Source organism: Homo sapiens, chromosome 20, assembly GCF_000001405.40.
Source record: "Homo sapiens chromosome 20, GRCh38.p14 Primary Assembly".
NCBI lineage: Eukaryota > Metazoa > Chordata > Mammalia > Primates > Hominidae > Homo > Homo sapiens.
In genome coordinates, this window is record NC_000020.11 from 53,182,331 (window position 1) to 53,200,225 (window position 17,895).

Here is a 17,895-nt window from a genome sequence, read left to right on the forward strand (position 1 = left end):
TTATGGCTCCAGCATGGTTTTAGAGCTTCAGTCATTCATTCATTTGTTCATTCATTTAACAAATATGGGCAAAGTACTCTGATCCATGCAAAAGTGGATTATCCAGTCATGAGCCACCTCTGCATAGAGGTAACGAGGTGGGCGGGGTTTGCCCTCATGGCATTTCCAGTCTAAACAGACATTAAACAGTTACAAATGATTGACTAAATGATTATTTAATGGTATTAAGTCAAGTAAAGGGATCAAATTATTTAACACCTGCTAATGATTAATTAAAATGGTATACATTTTGCCAAAGAATCTCTCTAACTTTTGGTAATCTGAACTTCTCTCTTTCCCTTTGATAAACGTGCTCAGAGTAAAAAACAACCAACTACCAGGAGGGTTTTCTGCCAAATTTGTTCCCAGAATGTTTAAAGATGAGTGTCTCTCATCTTTTCCTCTGTAATTCATTCTCTCTCTGTGTGTCTCTCCTCTCTTTGAACAGGGATACAGCCTATGTGTGTTCAATGTTCTAATAACCCCAAATTTAGACACAAACCATTATTTACTGATATTTAATGAAGTCACCTCATGGCGTTTTAATGATTGCTAGATGGAACAAATCTAATGATTGTTAAGATGGAACTTTACAAACCCTTTCAGTCAGGACAAGTGGCCTGTTCTCCCCACTTCTCCTTGAACTTGGTGTACTGAGCAAAAGACATGCAAGCAATGAGGTTGAGACTCATTTTTCAACATTACCCAAAGAACAGTGTGTACTGGATCCCTGGCAGCTGAGAAAGGACCCTTCCCCTGGCTGGGAGACAAAACTTCAATGAAATTAGGGCATTCTCCCAACCCAACCATTCCCACCCTGTGCTGATGTGAAAAAGTTCAAAGGATATTACGGGCAAAGCTCTCAAGATGTGTTTCCCTCGAGAATATTTCAGGTCACCCAATGTGTAAGGGCCCCTTTGAAGTCAAGATTGATTGAAAAAGCACAAGGGTGTGGAGTCTAAGAATTTGGATGTGGCCATCCTCTGCGTCCCTGAGTGAAGATGCTGCTCGGGTCAGTATTCATATTAGCCTGGCCCATTCCCTTTGCCTGCGGTATTTACAGTAACCCACATGCAGAGCAGGTGGAAGCCAAAGCGGGGCATAGCCAGGGATTGTGGCAGGGGCTTGAAAAAGTGTTTTCTTTTAATTGTAGGGGGATGATTCTGTTTGGCAGGATTCAAGGCTCAGCTGTGTGTGAGCAGATCCTTCATACACAACCACACACACACATATACTCAGCTTCCTCTCACATTTCTCATGGAAAACTGATCACACACAGCTCTCAGGAGTTTCCTGGAATGCAGGATAAGACATTCAGCTGATCAGTGACTGACATACTAGGGACCTGATTTCCTGAAATTAAAGCCACTGCCACTGCCTTGTATCTTGAGGCAACACAAAGTATTGTCTTTTTAAGTTTTTATTTTCACAAGGCAGCATCGTTAGAGTAGCCAGGATGGGTCAACCATTCGAAGGAAACAAAGGTGTGAGAGCAAGGCTGCTCTGCAGATTGCATCCACTTCTCTGGATGCTTTTGGGATGTGGGTGGCTCCAGTCTCCCCGTTGGCCTCAGGAGTGTTATCCTGAGAGAAATGAAGGGAGTCCTGCCTGGCAGCACCATTGCCCACAACGCTATCCAGAAGACGTGCAATGCCAAGGCCAACAGTCAGTTCCCTCTCAGTCGCTTCACCTCCTGAATGCATCTCAACTTGTATTTTGCCTTCATCCTGCCATTTTTCTCTCTTTGTGGCCTCTTGTGGGACTGTGGCTTTGCAACACAGCATCATCAAATAAATCATCTTTCCATGCATTCTCTCCTTCCTTCACCCCTTCCCAATCACCAAGGTCAGTTGTCCTTTATGGAATTTGAAATGATTTTTGGATTTGATTCAATCAACAAATATTTGCTAAGCAGCTACCATATGGCATATTCTGTACCATGTTTCTGGGAATGCAGTGGTGAACAAAACCACTGAGATAAATGCATTTGACTGACTTTTTCTGAATTTTAACGCATCTTGGAGTTACTGTGTTTTGGAGGTCAATATTGTTTTTCTGAGCATTTTACTCCTTTTTAAAAATAATCTTTTTTAAAATGACAGAAGCAAAATGTGAATTTTAAGGCATTATAAAATAGGAACAAACATAAATAAGAAAATAAAAACATCCATCACCCAAAGATCACACTACTAACATCAGTGCCTACTTCCAGAACATTCTCTGTGCATATATGTATATTTAAACACAAGACTGTAATAGACATGCTGTTATATAACCTGCTATTTTCAGTCAACAATCTCTATTTTTCATTTTAATAATTTTTATTGTTTTTAATTTTTCTAATTTTATAATTTTTTGAGACAGAATCTCACTCTGTTGCCCAGGCTGGAGTGCAGTGGCACAGTCTTGGCTCACTGCATCCTCTGCCTCCCGAGTTCAAACAATACTCATGCCTCAGCTCCTGAGTTGCTGGGATTACAACCGTGCACCACCATGCCTTGTTAATTTTTATATTTTTAGTATAGATGGGATTTCACCATGTTGGCCATGGCTGCTCTCAAACTCCTGGCCTCAAGTGATCTGCCCGCATTGGCCTCCTAAAGTGCTGGGATTACAGGCTTAAATATTCAGACCATAATCATATTCTTCCAGTTATGCCATAAATATCCTTTTCAGCTGGATTGGTCGGACTGTTCCTAAATTCAGGAACACGTGTTTTATCCAGTTGTTTTGTTTATACATTTTTTAAAATCTTTCATCTTTTTATGACCCAGAATTATAGAAGAGATTGAGCCAATTGTTTTGAAGAATGTCTTTCCTCTGAATTTGTCTGGGAGCTTTTTACTGTCATTTAGCCTGTTTCTCCAACCCCTGTAGAAGTGATGCATAAAACCTCGTGGGTTCAAATTGGACATTTATTTTTCTAGAACACACCCGACATGTAGGCTCTATTGCAATACATCTGAAAACACAAAATCTGTTTGCTCCAAAATTGGTGATAGCCTCTGACTTAAGATGATGGTGGCCAGGCGAGGTGGTTCAAGCCTGTGATTCCAGCACTTTGGGAGGCCGAGGCAGGCAGATCAGATCATGAGGTCAGGAGTTCAAGACCAGCCTGGCCAACATGGTGAAACCTCAGGAGGCTGAGGCAGGAGAATTCCTTGAACTGGGACCCAGGAGGCAGAGGTTGCAGTGAGCTGAGATCACGCCACTGCACTCCAGCTGGGGATACAGAGCAAGACTCCATCTCAAAAAAAGAAAAAAAAGAAAGAAAAGATGATGGCTGCTGCGTTGCTCCATTATACAGGTACAACAGTTTACCCACTTGCTGCTAGAAAGTCATCCCTATGGCTCTATTCTCTTGCTAAATGGATGTTCAGTTGCCCTTCAACCATTTTCTTAATGGTTTGAACACTAATTAATAATCCCTTGCTTGTATCAGTAATTTAATTGAGTTTTTAAATGATACTTTTTCCATATCTATCAGCAGACTACAATCATTTTGTTGGCTCTTAACTTTGATTCTTTCATCATGGCTTTTAGAACTCAGGTGAACATTAGTCCAAGTCGAGGGTTACTGTGAATGGTGCCATCTTGGGACTGGCACTTGGGTGGATTTCTTACTGACATAAAGAGGGCTTTAATCAGCCCTGCTGCAAACGCTTCCAATGTCTCTCCTTTCTCACTATGACTAACATTGATTTGGCTTCTCCCTATCACACGCTCTTATTAACTTGATTCATATTTCCCTTTGATGTAAGCTGGTGGAAGGCTGGGGCCAGCTTGTGTTGTCCAGCTGTTGCTATTTGTGTGCATCTCTCTTTCCATCTCCTTCAGTGGCTCCTTGCAATTGTCCATAGCAGGAATAATTATACCATTACAATCATCAAATGTTTCAATTTAGGACATTCTTTTAGAGCTGGGTATTAAAGATTTACCAGCTCACCAGTGGTTTAAGCCATCGGTGTTCAAACCTGGCTGAAACTCAGAATTGCCTGAAGACTTTTCTACAATACAACTTTCAAAAACCCACTGCAAACGTACTGAATCAGAAACCCTAGGCTTGAAGCTCTGCAAGTCTGTGTCTTTGATAAAATACTGCAAGTAATAGTTTGAGGGTTTGGGGTCAAGCAGTCAGCTCTAGGAAGAAAACTCTATATGTGCTCACATCCATCTCACTTTTTCTGAGTGGTCTCAGGTTGCCATCCTCACCACCTGTATTGTTTTCAGGGCAGCATGTCAAACCGAGGTACCCCCATTATTGAAGAAGGTTTCTTTTCACCTGCCTGCAGGCATTCATCACACCACCTCTCCTCTCTGCCACCCGCCTTTGCTTTGAGTCTTTTATCCCATTTCCAAGTCATTCTCTGTCTGGCATCCACCTAAATACAACCACACGGGGGAGGGAGGCAGCAGCCGTATTAACAATCTCCCCTCATCAATCACTTGGGGGAGAGTTACTTCTTTGCAATCTAAACATGAAAGCTTGTCTCCTCTTGGGGGCAGTGTGTGCGCAGGGACACTAGGGTTTAATATATATATATATATATTTTGGGGCCAGGTCGAAAGAAACCCCTAGGGCATAATCTCCTTAATTACACTTCTGCCATTTTTCATGGAGCCTGGTAGTTCGAGGAGCCCCTTTCTTTGTGTGTATATAGCCAAAATGAGTTTTAAGCTGTGGAGGGAGCAACCTAATCAATTTCCTTGGCCTGGGCCTTTTAGAATCCAATATAGCATAGATACAGGACAGTGATAATGATTTGACACTCGCCGCACGTCTGGGGGCTACACATCGCTGGTGAAAAAATGTCATGCCCAGATGAATACTGTTGGCCTCTGGTTCCAACACAACACCAAGAAAACATTGCAGTATTATGAGAATTCCTGTTCCTTCTGTCGATACGTTCAAGATGGTTCTTACTTCTGAGCAGGTATCGATTGTGTATAGGTTAGGCCCCACCTGTGCCATTTGTCATTTCTGATATAATATCGTGTTATCGTTTAAAGCTGTAATGGGAGAGGTGTCTGTGTTTAAAGCAAACCGGTGTCTCGAGCTTTGATAAATGGCTAGATGGTCTTTGTTTCTGCAGCAGTGAGCAGTTGGCTTGCTATTTGCTTTACCTTTTATCCAAGAATAACTGTGTGAGGAGTTCTGGAAGCGAGCAGTATCATTTTGTCAGATGTGGTCCGTGGCTAGCCGGGTGGTCCCAGCAGAACAGCTGTGGGATTTTAGCACCCGACAGGATGTTAGCAGAGGGCCTGTGTAAATCTGAAACAACTCAAGCTCCACATGGCTGCATTTGGTTGAAAAGTTCTCAGTGCTGTTTTTTTTTAAGGTGAGAGGACAGGAAATGCTGATGGGAAAGAAAAAAAAAAATATGTGCTTGGGATAATAATTTTATTCAGATGGAGCATTTCTGAGAAAAAGTGATCTGAGGGAAAAGGGTGGTGCTATCATGAGGGAAAATGGGAAATCAGTAAAGTGTGGCTGTCTCTAACATATGCATACCTCCCATCTCCAAAAGCGTGGCTCAGGCAGCTCCTGCTACCCTTAAACCACCCGCCTCCTGGTAACATGGCTCACCCTCTCCATATATCATTAGAACCCTCAGAAATGTGGCACGAAGCAAGTCTGGAAGACTTTCTGTTCCTGGAACTGAAGGTATTCGTGGGTTACAATCATGACACTTAATTCATCAGAACAGGCAGTTTGTCAGGACAAATAGCAGTAGTTTTGTGCCCACAGTTCCCTTCTCAAAATTCATGAAAACCAAAATGCTCCCACAATTCCAATGCGACTTTGCATGGCGGCAATGACTATCATTTCTCTCTGCCTTCTTTAAGGGGGAGGGGAGGGCCAGCCATGTATCATTACATAAATGGTACAACATGCCTGTTCCCCCAGCTCTACAGCCGAGGGGACTTTTGGAGAAGCGCCTGACATGAATCTGCTCCTAACTGGGAGTCGATCAAGTTATTTTCAGAAAAGTTCACCAGGTTTTCAATGTTCAGTGTAAAATCTACATTGGACTAGAGATACAAGGCAATGCTAAGCAACCTTGTTTCCTGGAGCCTGCTCTTCACTTTGATTTCTCTAGGACAGAGAAGCTTTTTGGTGATGAGTCCATACTTTCTCAACAGCATCTTTCTAAATTAATGAAATGCACTTGCTAGACAATGGAGAGGGTCTGTAGAATACACAAGGGCTATGAGACAGAATAAATGTCCACAAGCCTTGTTAGGATTTGGTGCTAGTCCATAGAAGAAATAGGTCCAAATAGGTATATAATTAAATATATATGTCTAGCTCCATCTTACACACACATATACATATGAATACATATTAATAAACATTCATACTCTCATAAATTCAGTATACCTATGAACCAGCTGCCTAAGTTATAAGAACGTAAATTGCCTATATATATACGGTTCTTACGTATATAAGAACCTGATTAGCAAGTACTTATATGTATCAATATTTTAAATTATATACCTACTGTATACCAGGCATATATGTACATTAGTGCATTTAATCCTTATAACATGTCTATGAGGAAATATGATTATCCCCATTTTTCAGATGACAGAGATGAGGTTGGAGAGAGCTAACATTCTTTGCTCAAAAGCACACAGCTTAGAAGTAGCAGATTCTTTCCTCATGCCATTTCTAATAGGTCACACAAGGATTTGCATATCATTTATTTATTGTACATGTTTGAAATTATGACAAGGTGTACAAATGTAACGAGAAAAACTTTCCCCTGAAATTCTAAATTCAGAATCTAGCAGAGTTCTAGGGAAAAAGATTTCCATCCTTTTCCATGAGCTTTCCAGAGCAAAGAAACCTACACCTTGGAAGGCCCGTTCTATTAAACCAGAATATGCAAATAGCTGCAAGAAGCAGGTAGATGACATAAGTCAAATGGAAGTCAGACCATAAAGTGGTGCAGACAATGGTGAACTCCAGGGCACACATTTAAACTGAAAGGGAATCTCTGTTCAGCTCTGTGCAAGAAATATGGACTCAGTGGTATCAGATCACCTGATTTTTCTGTTTGCTTGTTTTCAGAGAAAATACTCTGTAGAAACATTAATAATGGTACCTCACATGGTTGTTACAAGAATTAACTACATGATTATTGGTAGAATGCTTGGAACAAATTCATAAAGTGTTTGGAACAATGCCTGGCACATTATAAGCACCATATTCAGACCACATATTAGTATCCTCATCCTCATCATCCTTTTCCACATCAAGAGTGTAAGAGCCACGTGAGCAGAGATGCTGTCTCTCTTCTTCAGCTCTGTATCCCTGGTATGCAATGTAAAGCAACTGCTCAGGAAATATTTATAGAATAAATGAGTGATAGAAAGGAAAGTACAATAAAATGCACTTATCCCTGCTTGATTAATTCTTAAATGTCTGGGCCAGACACAATGGCTCACGCCTACAATCCCAGCACTTTGGGAGGCCAAGGTGGGCAGATTGCTTAAGCTTGGGAGTTCGAGACCAGCCTGAGCAACATGGTGAAACCTCATGTCTACGAAAAATACAAAAATTAGCTGAGCGTGATGGCACATGCTTGTAGTGCCAGCTACTCAGGAGGCTGAGGTGGGAGGATCACCCGAGCCAGGGCAGGTTGAGGTTGCTATGAGCCATGATCATGCCACTGTACTCCAGCCTGGGTGACCAAACAAGACCCTGTCTCAAATATATATATATATATATATATATATATATATATATATATATATATATATATTTTCTTAAATGCCTCTGTTTCTTTTTGTATATCGCTATCTGTGTTTCTGTGTGTTTAGGTCTCTCTTTCTCTTTCTTTCTCTCATTAAATTAAAATAAGGATGAGAATAGATTACCAGGCAAGCTGGCAAAATGGCTAAGTAGGTTGTCCAACCAGTTGTTTCCTTGCGAGCTGGTATCTGAATAATAATGTCCCACTTGAACCACACAGCCCCCATTAATGACTTACACCAAGGGGGTTCAAAGACAGGAAGTGGCAGCAGCAGCAGCAACACCCCTCTAGTGGTTCTAATGATGCAGGGCGAGGGTGCCTCTTGCTCCTGGGCAGAATGGAAAATGGAGTAGAGAGCCCCAATCCGTGTGCAGAGGTGCCGTTTTCAACAAAGAAATCCTGCCATTCCAAACTGTCGAGACCTTTAAAAATAAAAGATGTGCTGTATTTCCAGCACTATTCAGTATTCATGAGGCTTCGCAGCTTGTTGTAAGGCAAGATGAAAACAATACTCAGTAGATTTTCATAAGTGACATGTAACTGCAAGATTGATAGATGATGCAGTTTTAATGTATGTGAAGTTCAAAACCAACATAAAAGCTTCCAGGTAGCTGAACACCGGATTTCAAACCCACATTTCTTCCAGTGATAAGCCCTAGACTTTCCCCAAGTCTCCTGCATCTATAAAACAAAAAGTGGGCATCACCCTACCGAGGGCAGAATTTCTACTGAGCCTCCAAGGACAAAGGCTGGGATGTTTCCATGGGTGTAGCAGGGGGTCCCAGGGTACATTTTTTTTGTGAAATGAATGTGATGAATCATGAATGGTTAAATATCACTATTTGCTTCTGCTAATGAATGCTAAAGAAAAAGAAGGTTGACCTTCCTGATGGTTCAGGGAGCACAGAAAATTAGTTACATTTCTAGTCATTTCCCAAAACGTCCTTGCTGTATATCTCATAGCTTCTTGGCCACTCTGGGTTTGTTATGTATTATCAAAATATACACACGTATACATACACATGTGCATATATATATATGTACAAATCAAACATTATTACGTATTGTATTGTATATGTAATGTATATGACCTATGCAGTTAAATATATTATTCATAACTATGCATTATACAGTGAATATAGGGTTTTATGAGTTTTCATGGTCAGCCTCAATTAAGCAATATTTCTCTACTCCATTCCATGAATATCCATTACATAACATTCATGAAATGTTATAAAAAGTTAAACTACTGGCCAGGTGTGGTGGCTCACGCTTGTAATCTCAGCACTTTGAGAGGCCGAGGCGGGTGGATCACTTGAGGCCAGGAGTTTGAAACCAGCCTGGGCAACATGGTGAAACTCTGTCTCTACTAAAATTACAAACATTAGCTGGGTGTGGTGGCACGTGGCTGTAGTCTCAGCCACTTGGGATGCTGAAGTGGGAGAATCACTTGAACCCAGGAGGCGGAGGCTGCAGTGAGCTGGGATTGCACCACTGCGCTCCAGCCTGGGTGACAGAGCCAGACTCTGTCTCAAAAAAAATTGAGTTAAACTACACATCTTCACTTTGGAACCCTTCTTTCCTTTTGTCTTATCACTTGTTCCCCAGCACTGATTGAATATTAGGACCTGTCAAGTACCGAACAGAAAGTACTGTAAGGAAGTCTGACATAGACACAAAGAGATGACATATGTTAAAGAGAAATATACATACATGTCAGCAGGCATACATACACATGTGATTGTTTCTATATTGATGAGTCTTCCTTTCTTTTCACTTATTCTTTGTCTTTTTTGGAGGAGAGTGCTGAGATTGTCTCTTTTTATTTTGCTTTGGTTCCAGTCTAGTTAACTCAAAATGCATGGGGTTAGAAAAATTAAATTAAATTTTAAAAATCACAATAGCAGTGAACATTTTATAACATTCAGTGCTTAAAGTATGTGCAAAACAATCTTACAAGGAGATAATATTATTAACTTGGTTTTATGAACAGGGAAATGGAGGCTCAGAGTGGTTGATCAACTTGCAGAAAGTCACACAGCTAATAAGCACAAGAGGTTGATTTTTCATTGTACCTGTTAAATAGACATCAGCGAGATGCAAGTGCCAGAGCAACATAATGGACAATTTTGAGATCCACGCTGTTCTAACCCTTCTCTGGCTAAAAAAAAAAAAAAACAAAAAAACAACTTTGCTTGTGCATGTCAGACAAGAAGGCTTCCAAAGGACAAGGACAACCTCCTTTGTGTATTACATTGTCACTTTCTAACACAGGGCCTGGCACAGAGCAAAAGCTTAGTAAATGTAGAGTAAAAAAGAAAGGGAGAAAGTGGTAAGGTGGTGACTCCCTTGTGGGCATTTGGGAGCTGGAAAACCAATGAGATCTTTCCAATTTTAAGGTGAGCACAAAAGGAAGGACAATTTAGTGTCTGGAAAAAAAAAAAAAAAACCCACAACAACTGGTCTATGAATTGGCTGCCCAGAGAAGGGGACAGGGCAGAATGTAAAGACCAGGACAGAAGGGCTCTCCTGGGTGTCTCCTGACAGAAGATGAGAGAAGGAAAATACACAAGGTGAGGTATTTATCTCGAGGTCTCTGGCTTCTCATTGGCAATGCTGGAATCTGAAGAAAACCTGGGTCTTTCTCCTACAACTTGAGCTCACATCTCCTGATTTTCATCATTGGGCAATTTTTCCAAACTTTTCATTGTTTTGGCTGGATCCTGTTGAGAAAGATGATTTTTCTCAGGGCTGGAATACAAGATTCCTCAGGTTGAGATAGGATCTAAGCCAGGGATGCTAAGGTGTCACTGAGTTCAAAGTGGGAATCTTCTATGATCTTTGCCCATGGGCAGAGCGGCTGTGCCAGCAGGTAAACACCACAGTGGGGACATGCGGAACGCTCTTATCCACTCTACTTGTCCATAGGATGGTGTGGAAGACCCCAAAACAGAGTATGGTAACCACCTACCTGTGTCGTCTGTATAGAACCATGAAGAATGTTCCTCCTTTGGGCAAAGGGTTTTAAAAATACTTTCAAAAAAAAAAAAAGAAAAAAGAAAAAAAAAACACCACCTCTGGTTTCCTGTATTCAGAAAAGGATCTCATATCAACTCCTAGAGATTCAGAGAAAAAATAAGAAAATGTTTCCAGTCTTCTGTTTCCTACCCTCTTTGTCTTGTTCCCTTCTCCTGGGCTGACAACTGCTCCAGACACATTGCCGTTCGCAATCCTGTTAAGTCAAGAGCATGTATCCTTAGGGGCTCTGCACCCAGGCAGTGGCTGCTGTCATCAACTCGTTATGCACTGCCTTTGCCCCCCAACACACCCCCTTTTGTAACATTCATCCTATTTGTTCTCTCTTTTGTATGTTGTCTCCCTGTGACACTATAATGTAATTGATGACTGGAACCAGATCTGTCTCGTTCATCACTGTTCCCCAAATCTAACCAAGAAGGTGCCTAGAACACAGCTGATGTTAAATAACTTTTTTCAATGGGTTGAATTCATACAGGCACCCACCCTTTCTTTTCAGTGCTCGTACCACAGGAATGGTCTACAGCCTGGCAGGGGCTCAGTGTATATCTGTTGAATAATAGAAGCAGCACATCAGAGATTGCCACTGCCATCCGCTGTAGGAAAGCAGGTCTCTTCTTGAGCTAAGAGGAAACCCATGTTGAGTTGACAATAAGAGGGAGGAACCTTGAACCTGAGGGAGTTGACAGTAAGAGGGAGGAACCTTGAACCTGAGGAAGAGGAGTCAGTTTCTCTAGCATTCCGCATAAAAGACAAAGTGGACAACGGGGAGGTTCTCATTTCCCTCCTCCTCAGTGCTCAGACTTTGGAACACAAGTTGTATTGCTTGACCTATGTGTGTCTTTTGACCACCTCTGATGATTCATTTATCTGATTTGAGTGCTTTCCTGATGGAAAACACAGTCTGTTGGATGGTAGTTCACTGATTCCCTCTTGATGTCCATCATCTCTAGTGATGGCCTTCCATGAGCACAATGGCAGGATTCTTGACCAGTTCCCCGAACTCTTCTGTTTTGTTTTGTTGATATGTGTCTTCTGTTTTGTTGGGAGCCTGCTGTTGCTTACATAGAATGTCCTCTGCCACTGGTAATGACCTTCATGAAAGAGGCTCAAACCCTGATTTGTAATCTCTAAGAGCAGCCTCCCACGAGGTAGGATCTCCCAGCTGAGGTGAATACCTCTAGTTGGCTTTTTTAAATTAAGGCTCCACATTGTAACTAGTCAACGTACATTATTGGGAGAGTGAATGTCAATGCCACTGCGTTTTCTTTCTCTCCTTTATCTTTGTCAGTGATTCAAAGACATGATTTATGGTTAGTCTCCGACTTTCAGCATCATCCATCAAGTCCTGGTTTCACTACAGGGCTCCACATTGTAAATCATACCGAAGGGTTGTCACTCATTCCCCTTAACCCTTTAGGGGTATGTTTCAGGGTCGCTGTCCAAGAAGGAAACTTTGTAAGATGGCAGTTGAGGGGGCTTGGGCAATTGATAGGGACTCATTAAGTCAGTGGCATTAATTACTTCACCTAATGTGATCATTATTAAGGCCTGGGTAAGGCCTGGGCCAGCTCCACCCAGCCCAGGCAGGAAGAGAAACTCGCTCCCGGTGACTTGAGAAACACACAGATTCCTGAACCAGCTCTATTCTGTTTTGAAATGTCCATTATGGATGTGAAGTGCTGAGTTTCACTTTGGAATCAATCACAGGCTAGTTCTGATTGTGACCTTGCAAAGATTACAGAATGAGTGCAAAGACCCATTAGCAGCTGCTATTTCAGGCTTTGTAAATTAACAGTCCTCTCCTCCTCCCACACTTTTTTTCATGTCTCTATCACTCTGTGACTCTCTGTCCCTTTGTCACCTTCGGGAAGGTGGGGATTGGTGGCAAGGGGTGAGACTGAAACTTGCAGGCAGAGGAGCAGGACTTTTGCAGGGCCAGATCTCCCCTTCTGGCTGATTCCAGTCATGCAGGATTAAGGCTTTGAGACATGGCACACCTGGTAGAAGCAAAATCCAGGCAACTGGCATTGAATGAATGGGCGTGCTCACCTACCAGAAGTCTGCAACTAGTAATTGCGGGTCATTAATGAAAAAATAAATAAATATATATATATACACACACACACATATATATTCTTGGGATCTATTTGTTCAGAGTCTGCATTTGGTTGAAAGCGATTTTGTTCCTGAATTGTGCATAGCTCTGTTTTCCCATGGTAAGCTGATGAAAACAACTATATTGGTGAAAGATATACAGGTAAATAAAGTGAAGGTTTGTAAAATATGAACGTTCATCATCTAAACTGTGTTTTCATAAGAACTCCTCCTCAGATGGTGCTTGAGGGGCTCAGGACTTGGATGTTTTCAAATACAGGTCACAAATGTGCCTGCGGTCTTCATTTTTCCAAAAATTAGCACTTATTTAGTCTTCAAGGATTAAGGCACCTCAGTTTACCAGGACAGTGACCCTGACGGGTCCCCTCTTTACCCAGCATTCTCACTTTCCAGCATACAAAGTGGCTAGTCTTAGGATTTTATCTTTCTTGGAAAGAGCACAAGGATCTTTTCAAACTTTAAATGACCCAGAGCCATGAATCCTCCTAACAGCCTTGGAAGGCAGGTAAACTGTTGCCGAACTAGTATTTCACGGAGCAGCCCTTCTCTCTTCTGCCCTCCCTCCTGCTCAGAAATCAGATTTATATGGTATACACAGTGTCTGCAGACCTAACTGCAGGTGACTTAGAAACGGAGAGCCTGCAGATTAATGTGCCCATTCAGAATGATGTATTCTATTTTTTTGTGCTAAGAGCAGCGTGGATGGCTCGTTGGGAAGGCATAACAAGGGGGCCAGTCTCGGCTTCTGCGTCGCAGCCTATCACAGAAAGGGCTTCTGTCGGGTCTCTGTTGTGAAGTCAGCTACTGACTGCCATTTGAATTCCATCGATACGACGTCTTCTGTTTATGCCACATGGATTTCATTATGCCTCTGATCAAAAGAATTTTCTAGGCGCTGACAATAAGGAAGCAAGTTGTTCAGCTCATGGAACTAATAGACAACTTTGAGAGTCCCTTTCCCTCTCAATGAGCAAGAGGAATTCTCCCTTCTCAATATTGTCTGTCCCTAGAATAATTGTACATTTCTGCAAATCTTGTTCAGGCCAAGAGACAACATCCCGGAGGCATCAAGAATCTGCTGCTAAAAAAAAAAAAAAAAAAAAAAAAAATGTGCTTTCAACAAATTAGAATACGCCACCTAGTGAAGTTCTTAATTAGCATGGCACCTCAGATATAAAGTTAGGAGGCCTGATTGCGGTCAACTCACCCCGACCTCTTACTTGAAGGAACCCGGAATTATAGGAAGGACTCTGGAAAGAAAAAGAAAATGTAATTAAATTAAAATAGTCCTGCTCTTTCTGTCTGAACCTAGCCCATTACTATGATACCTTGTTTCATGATGTCTTGTCGGAAGCATTTAGAATGGTGAATTACCCCCCTTTTAAAAACAGGCAGACAAAAAATATATATACGATCTTATTCACACAACATGTGGGTCAGTGTTTTCTGGTTAGCATCCTGCCTAGAATTCCAGGTATTTCTAAGGTATTCAACTCTGAGTGGTGCAAGTCTTCACAGATCTGTATTTGGTGAGGCATATTTGCCAGATTTGCCATGGTGGCAAATTTAAATAAATTGTCCAGATGCATACACATTAATCCACTGGCTGGAAGCCAGGAATATGCAGTACAGCCTCAGCTTCCCTATGTCCAATTTCCCCTGGGACTTTTCTTTTTACACAGAAAATTTCAAGCTGTGTGTGTCTAAACACAGAAGTTGCCTTCCTCCTTCCTACCTTCTCTCTCCATAATCGGTAATTTTTCCTCCCATCAGCCCCATCCTCGTTTTCATTTTGTCAAATAACAGTGTGACTTTGTCTTTGACATTAAACAGTTGTATATACTTTTAGCAGTTTGTTTACTCCATCTGTATTTCCAATCAGCGAGGAAGGTTTACCAAAGTGGTTCATTACTGATTTATTTATGATGTATTTAGATAGCAAATATGAAACTGTCAGCAGTTGCTGGCTAAACAGTGTTGACAGACATTAATAACATATGGTATAGCAATGGAATTATGATCTTTTAATTTTTAAAAAAATTTTGATTCTCAACGTGCAGTTTTGGGTTTTGCATTTCTTAGGTAGGTGCGTGCAAAGGAGAAGACTTTTAACAAAACTATGTTTTCTTTTTATTTGTAACCTTTGGGGTTTCCTGTTGGTGACATTAACATCTTCTGTGTCTATTTAGCTGTTCAATTTAATGGAAGACAAATCCTCCCAAAGGTTTAATTTACTCTTGCAAACTGAAATCACCGTATTCACACTGTGGGAAATGGCCCTAATTTTCCCAACCTTCAGTTGCCATCAAGCATATAATTTATTTCTCCCCCTTCGATACATTCCCCATTAGAAAACAAAGTTTTTGATATTTAAATGTTACCAAGTTCAAACGGAGGAACCGAGTCTCCCGTTTCTGCAAAATGCTGTTGCAGGCATGGCTGCTTCTACCTGACAGCCACCCATTTATACTGGGCCAGAACAGACAAACATTTGAATTTCTGACCTTTAATTGGCTGTTCCTTTGAGCTTATATGGTTTTTTCCAGCACCAAGGGAGGACATTTTTCAGCTCAACTCAAAGGAAAAACAACAAGCAAACCCAGGTAGCAGTAAAATTCAGCCCATTTGCTTTGAAGTAAGCATGGGCATTTTAGCCAGAAGGTGACCCGACAGGCAATAAAGTTTCTCTTTGGCCAAGAATTCTTCCATGGTTCCGTAAAGATGATCTCGTTTTCCAGACTCCAATTCGTTCCCTTGAATATGTCCAAAGGACATGAAAGTTAACATTAGAAAAAAAAATAGGAGTCTTCTAGGGCAGGAAATATCTGTGATGGGGATCCATTGAGAATTTGGTAAAAGCTAACACCTTCTCACTCAGCATACACATAAGCATTACCTGTAATTTCAGGGTTCTGGCATCCTGGGAAGCCCATCCAGTGTCTCTGGAGCCCAGTTAAGAATCAGCCATCATTCAGGTCATTACGGGATTTTTGTGTGTGAAGTACAAGAACTTGCCTTCATTTTCTAAGGTTAGAGTGGGGAAGAGATGGCTCATGTGCCACATGAACTGAGTACCTCTGGAAGCTCTTTTAGTGTTTTATACACGTTATCACACTGGATCCTCAAAACACCCTAGGAAGTAGGTATAAGACTTAATCCCATTTTGCAGATAGGGAAATTGAGGAGTAATGAAATTGAAATTGAGGTCACATAGCTGATAAGTAAAGGAACCACACGTCAAATCTCAACACTGATTCCTGAGCCAAGTCAAATGGGAAATTTTGCTTAAAATGAAAAATGTAAGTTAATTTATAAGCTTTTACCTTCTTGATTTTTTTTTCACTATTTCAAAACTGCAAAGCATATTGGAAATTATCCCTTTCAAATATCTTACTTTACCTTTGAAATAACTAAACCCAGAGGAACTCCAAGACTTGTCCTGAGTTAAACAATTAGAGGCTGAGCCAGAGCTGGCTTATTCCGACTTGGGATTCAGCTTTGATAATCAATGCCATACCATGTCCTTGGGCATGTTAAGGCTTGAACTTAAACATAATGGTGGCTAGTTTTGAAATATATCTAATATTTTGAGAATATTAATGACACTAGAAAATAAGGATCAGAGAGCCATCTCTGTCCTAATCCTAATCCCTTCACTGCTGAAACTCACAAGAAATAATAAGGTGCCCCGACTAGAGCACACACTTCCTCAGATCACTATTGGAATCCCACCTCTGATGCCCACTGTGTGATGTTAGGCAGGCCCCAGCACCCATCTGAGTGTTGCTGTTTTTCCCATGTAAATGGCTTAAATAAAGCGTTCTATACAAAGCCATCGTTACAGAGCCTGACGTAGAGCCAACATTCATTAAATGTTAGTTTGTAGAATTATATTTATTACAAGTGTGTTTAGAACTAAAATCAAGACATGTGGCTGGGAGCAGTGGCTTGTTCCTGTAATCCCAGCACTTTGGGAGGCCGAGGCGGGTGGATTGCTTGAGGTCAGGAGTGAAACCCTGTCTCTACTGAAAACACAGAAAATCAGCCAGGCGTGGTGGCACACGCCTGTAATCCCAGCTACTCAGGAAGCAGAGGCATGAGAATTGCTTGAGCCTGGGAGGTGGAAGTTGCAGTGAGCCAAGATTGTGCCACTATACTCCAGCCTGGGAGACAGGGTGAGACCCCATCTCAAAAAAAGTAAAATAAAATAAAAAATCAAGACACATGAATATTGTCTATTCAATGTAGACATCTTCTACAGTCCCCAGTCTTCAAAGCCAGAGACAGCGAAACTCCAGTATCACATCCCAACACATCAAGTCTCTGACTTTCCTTATCTCTGACATCTAGGGGCTCATGTGACTAGGTTAGGCCCCCACTGGATAATCTCCCCATTTTACAGTGATCTGATTTGGGAGCTCAGTTACATCTGAAAAACTCCGTCCCAGCAATGCCTAGACTAGTGTTTGTAGAACAACTGGGCAAAGGTGTGTGTAGTGTATATCGGGGGCAGGAAGCGTGTGAGCCAGGAATCATTTTAGAATTCTGCCCACCACAGCCTCAGTCTTCTAATCTGTCAAGTGGGGATGTGCAGTGGTTTCTATGGCACAGGTGCCTGTGAGGAGTAAATGTGTATACATCACGTAGTATAGCATGGGACATAACACACATCCACGCGGTACCTTGCAGCTATGGTTCTTGGAAGGGAAAATAAAACTCAGATGTGGAATAGTTTATCAGATGAGGGTAGTTTAGAGCTCAATCCTGGGAGGAACAACCAATCAATCAATCAGCAAGAACATATTATGGAACACCAAGACGCTTTGCCAGGGATTGGGTGCGATTGCCAGAAGCTGCAATGGATGGCGAGGAAGAGCTGCTTCTTGTGGGCGGGTGGAGGGGGACTTCCTCAGGGTATACACAGTCTCCTTGGGAACTTGCC

General features: G+C 41.6%; 1 protein-coding gene across 10 annotated transcripts in view, besides 1 other annotated feature; it reads left to right on the top strand.

Moving 5' to 3' along the window:
- Positions 1-17,895, top strand: part of TSHZ2 (teashirt zinc finger homeobox 2) — a 522,973-nt gene that overhangs the window by 209,973 nt on the left and 295,105 nt on the right. The window contains exon 1 of one of the 10 annotated variants that reach the window (NM_001193421.2): positions 2,953-3,346. The exons of the other annotated variants lie outside the window; for them this stretch is intronic. Within the exon in view, the coding sequence (NP_001180350.1) occupies positions 3,316-3,346 (31 nt within the window). The 5' untranslated portion in view covers positions 2,953-3,315. Of the gene's footprint in view, positions 1-2,952; positions 3,347-17,895 lie in introns of those variants that run through there. 10 annotated transcript variants of the gene reach the window in all.
- Positions 12,600-12,894: a silencer, noted in NCBI's record as "tiled region #9561; K562 Repressive non-DNase unmatched - State 13:Ctcf". NCBI's record gives its function as "represses a minimal TATA promoter and a strong SV40 promoter by Sharpr-MPRA in K562 cells {active_cell/tissue: K562}" and the evidence as "EXISTENCE:reporter gene assay evidence [ECO:0000049][PMID:27701403]".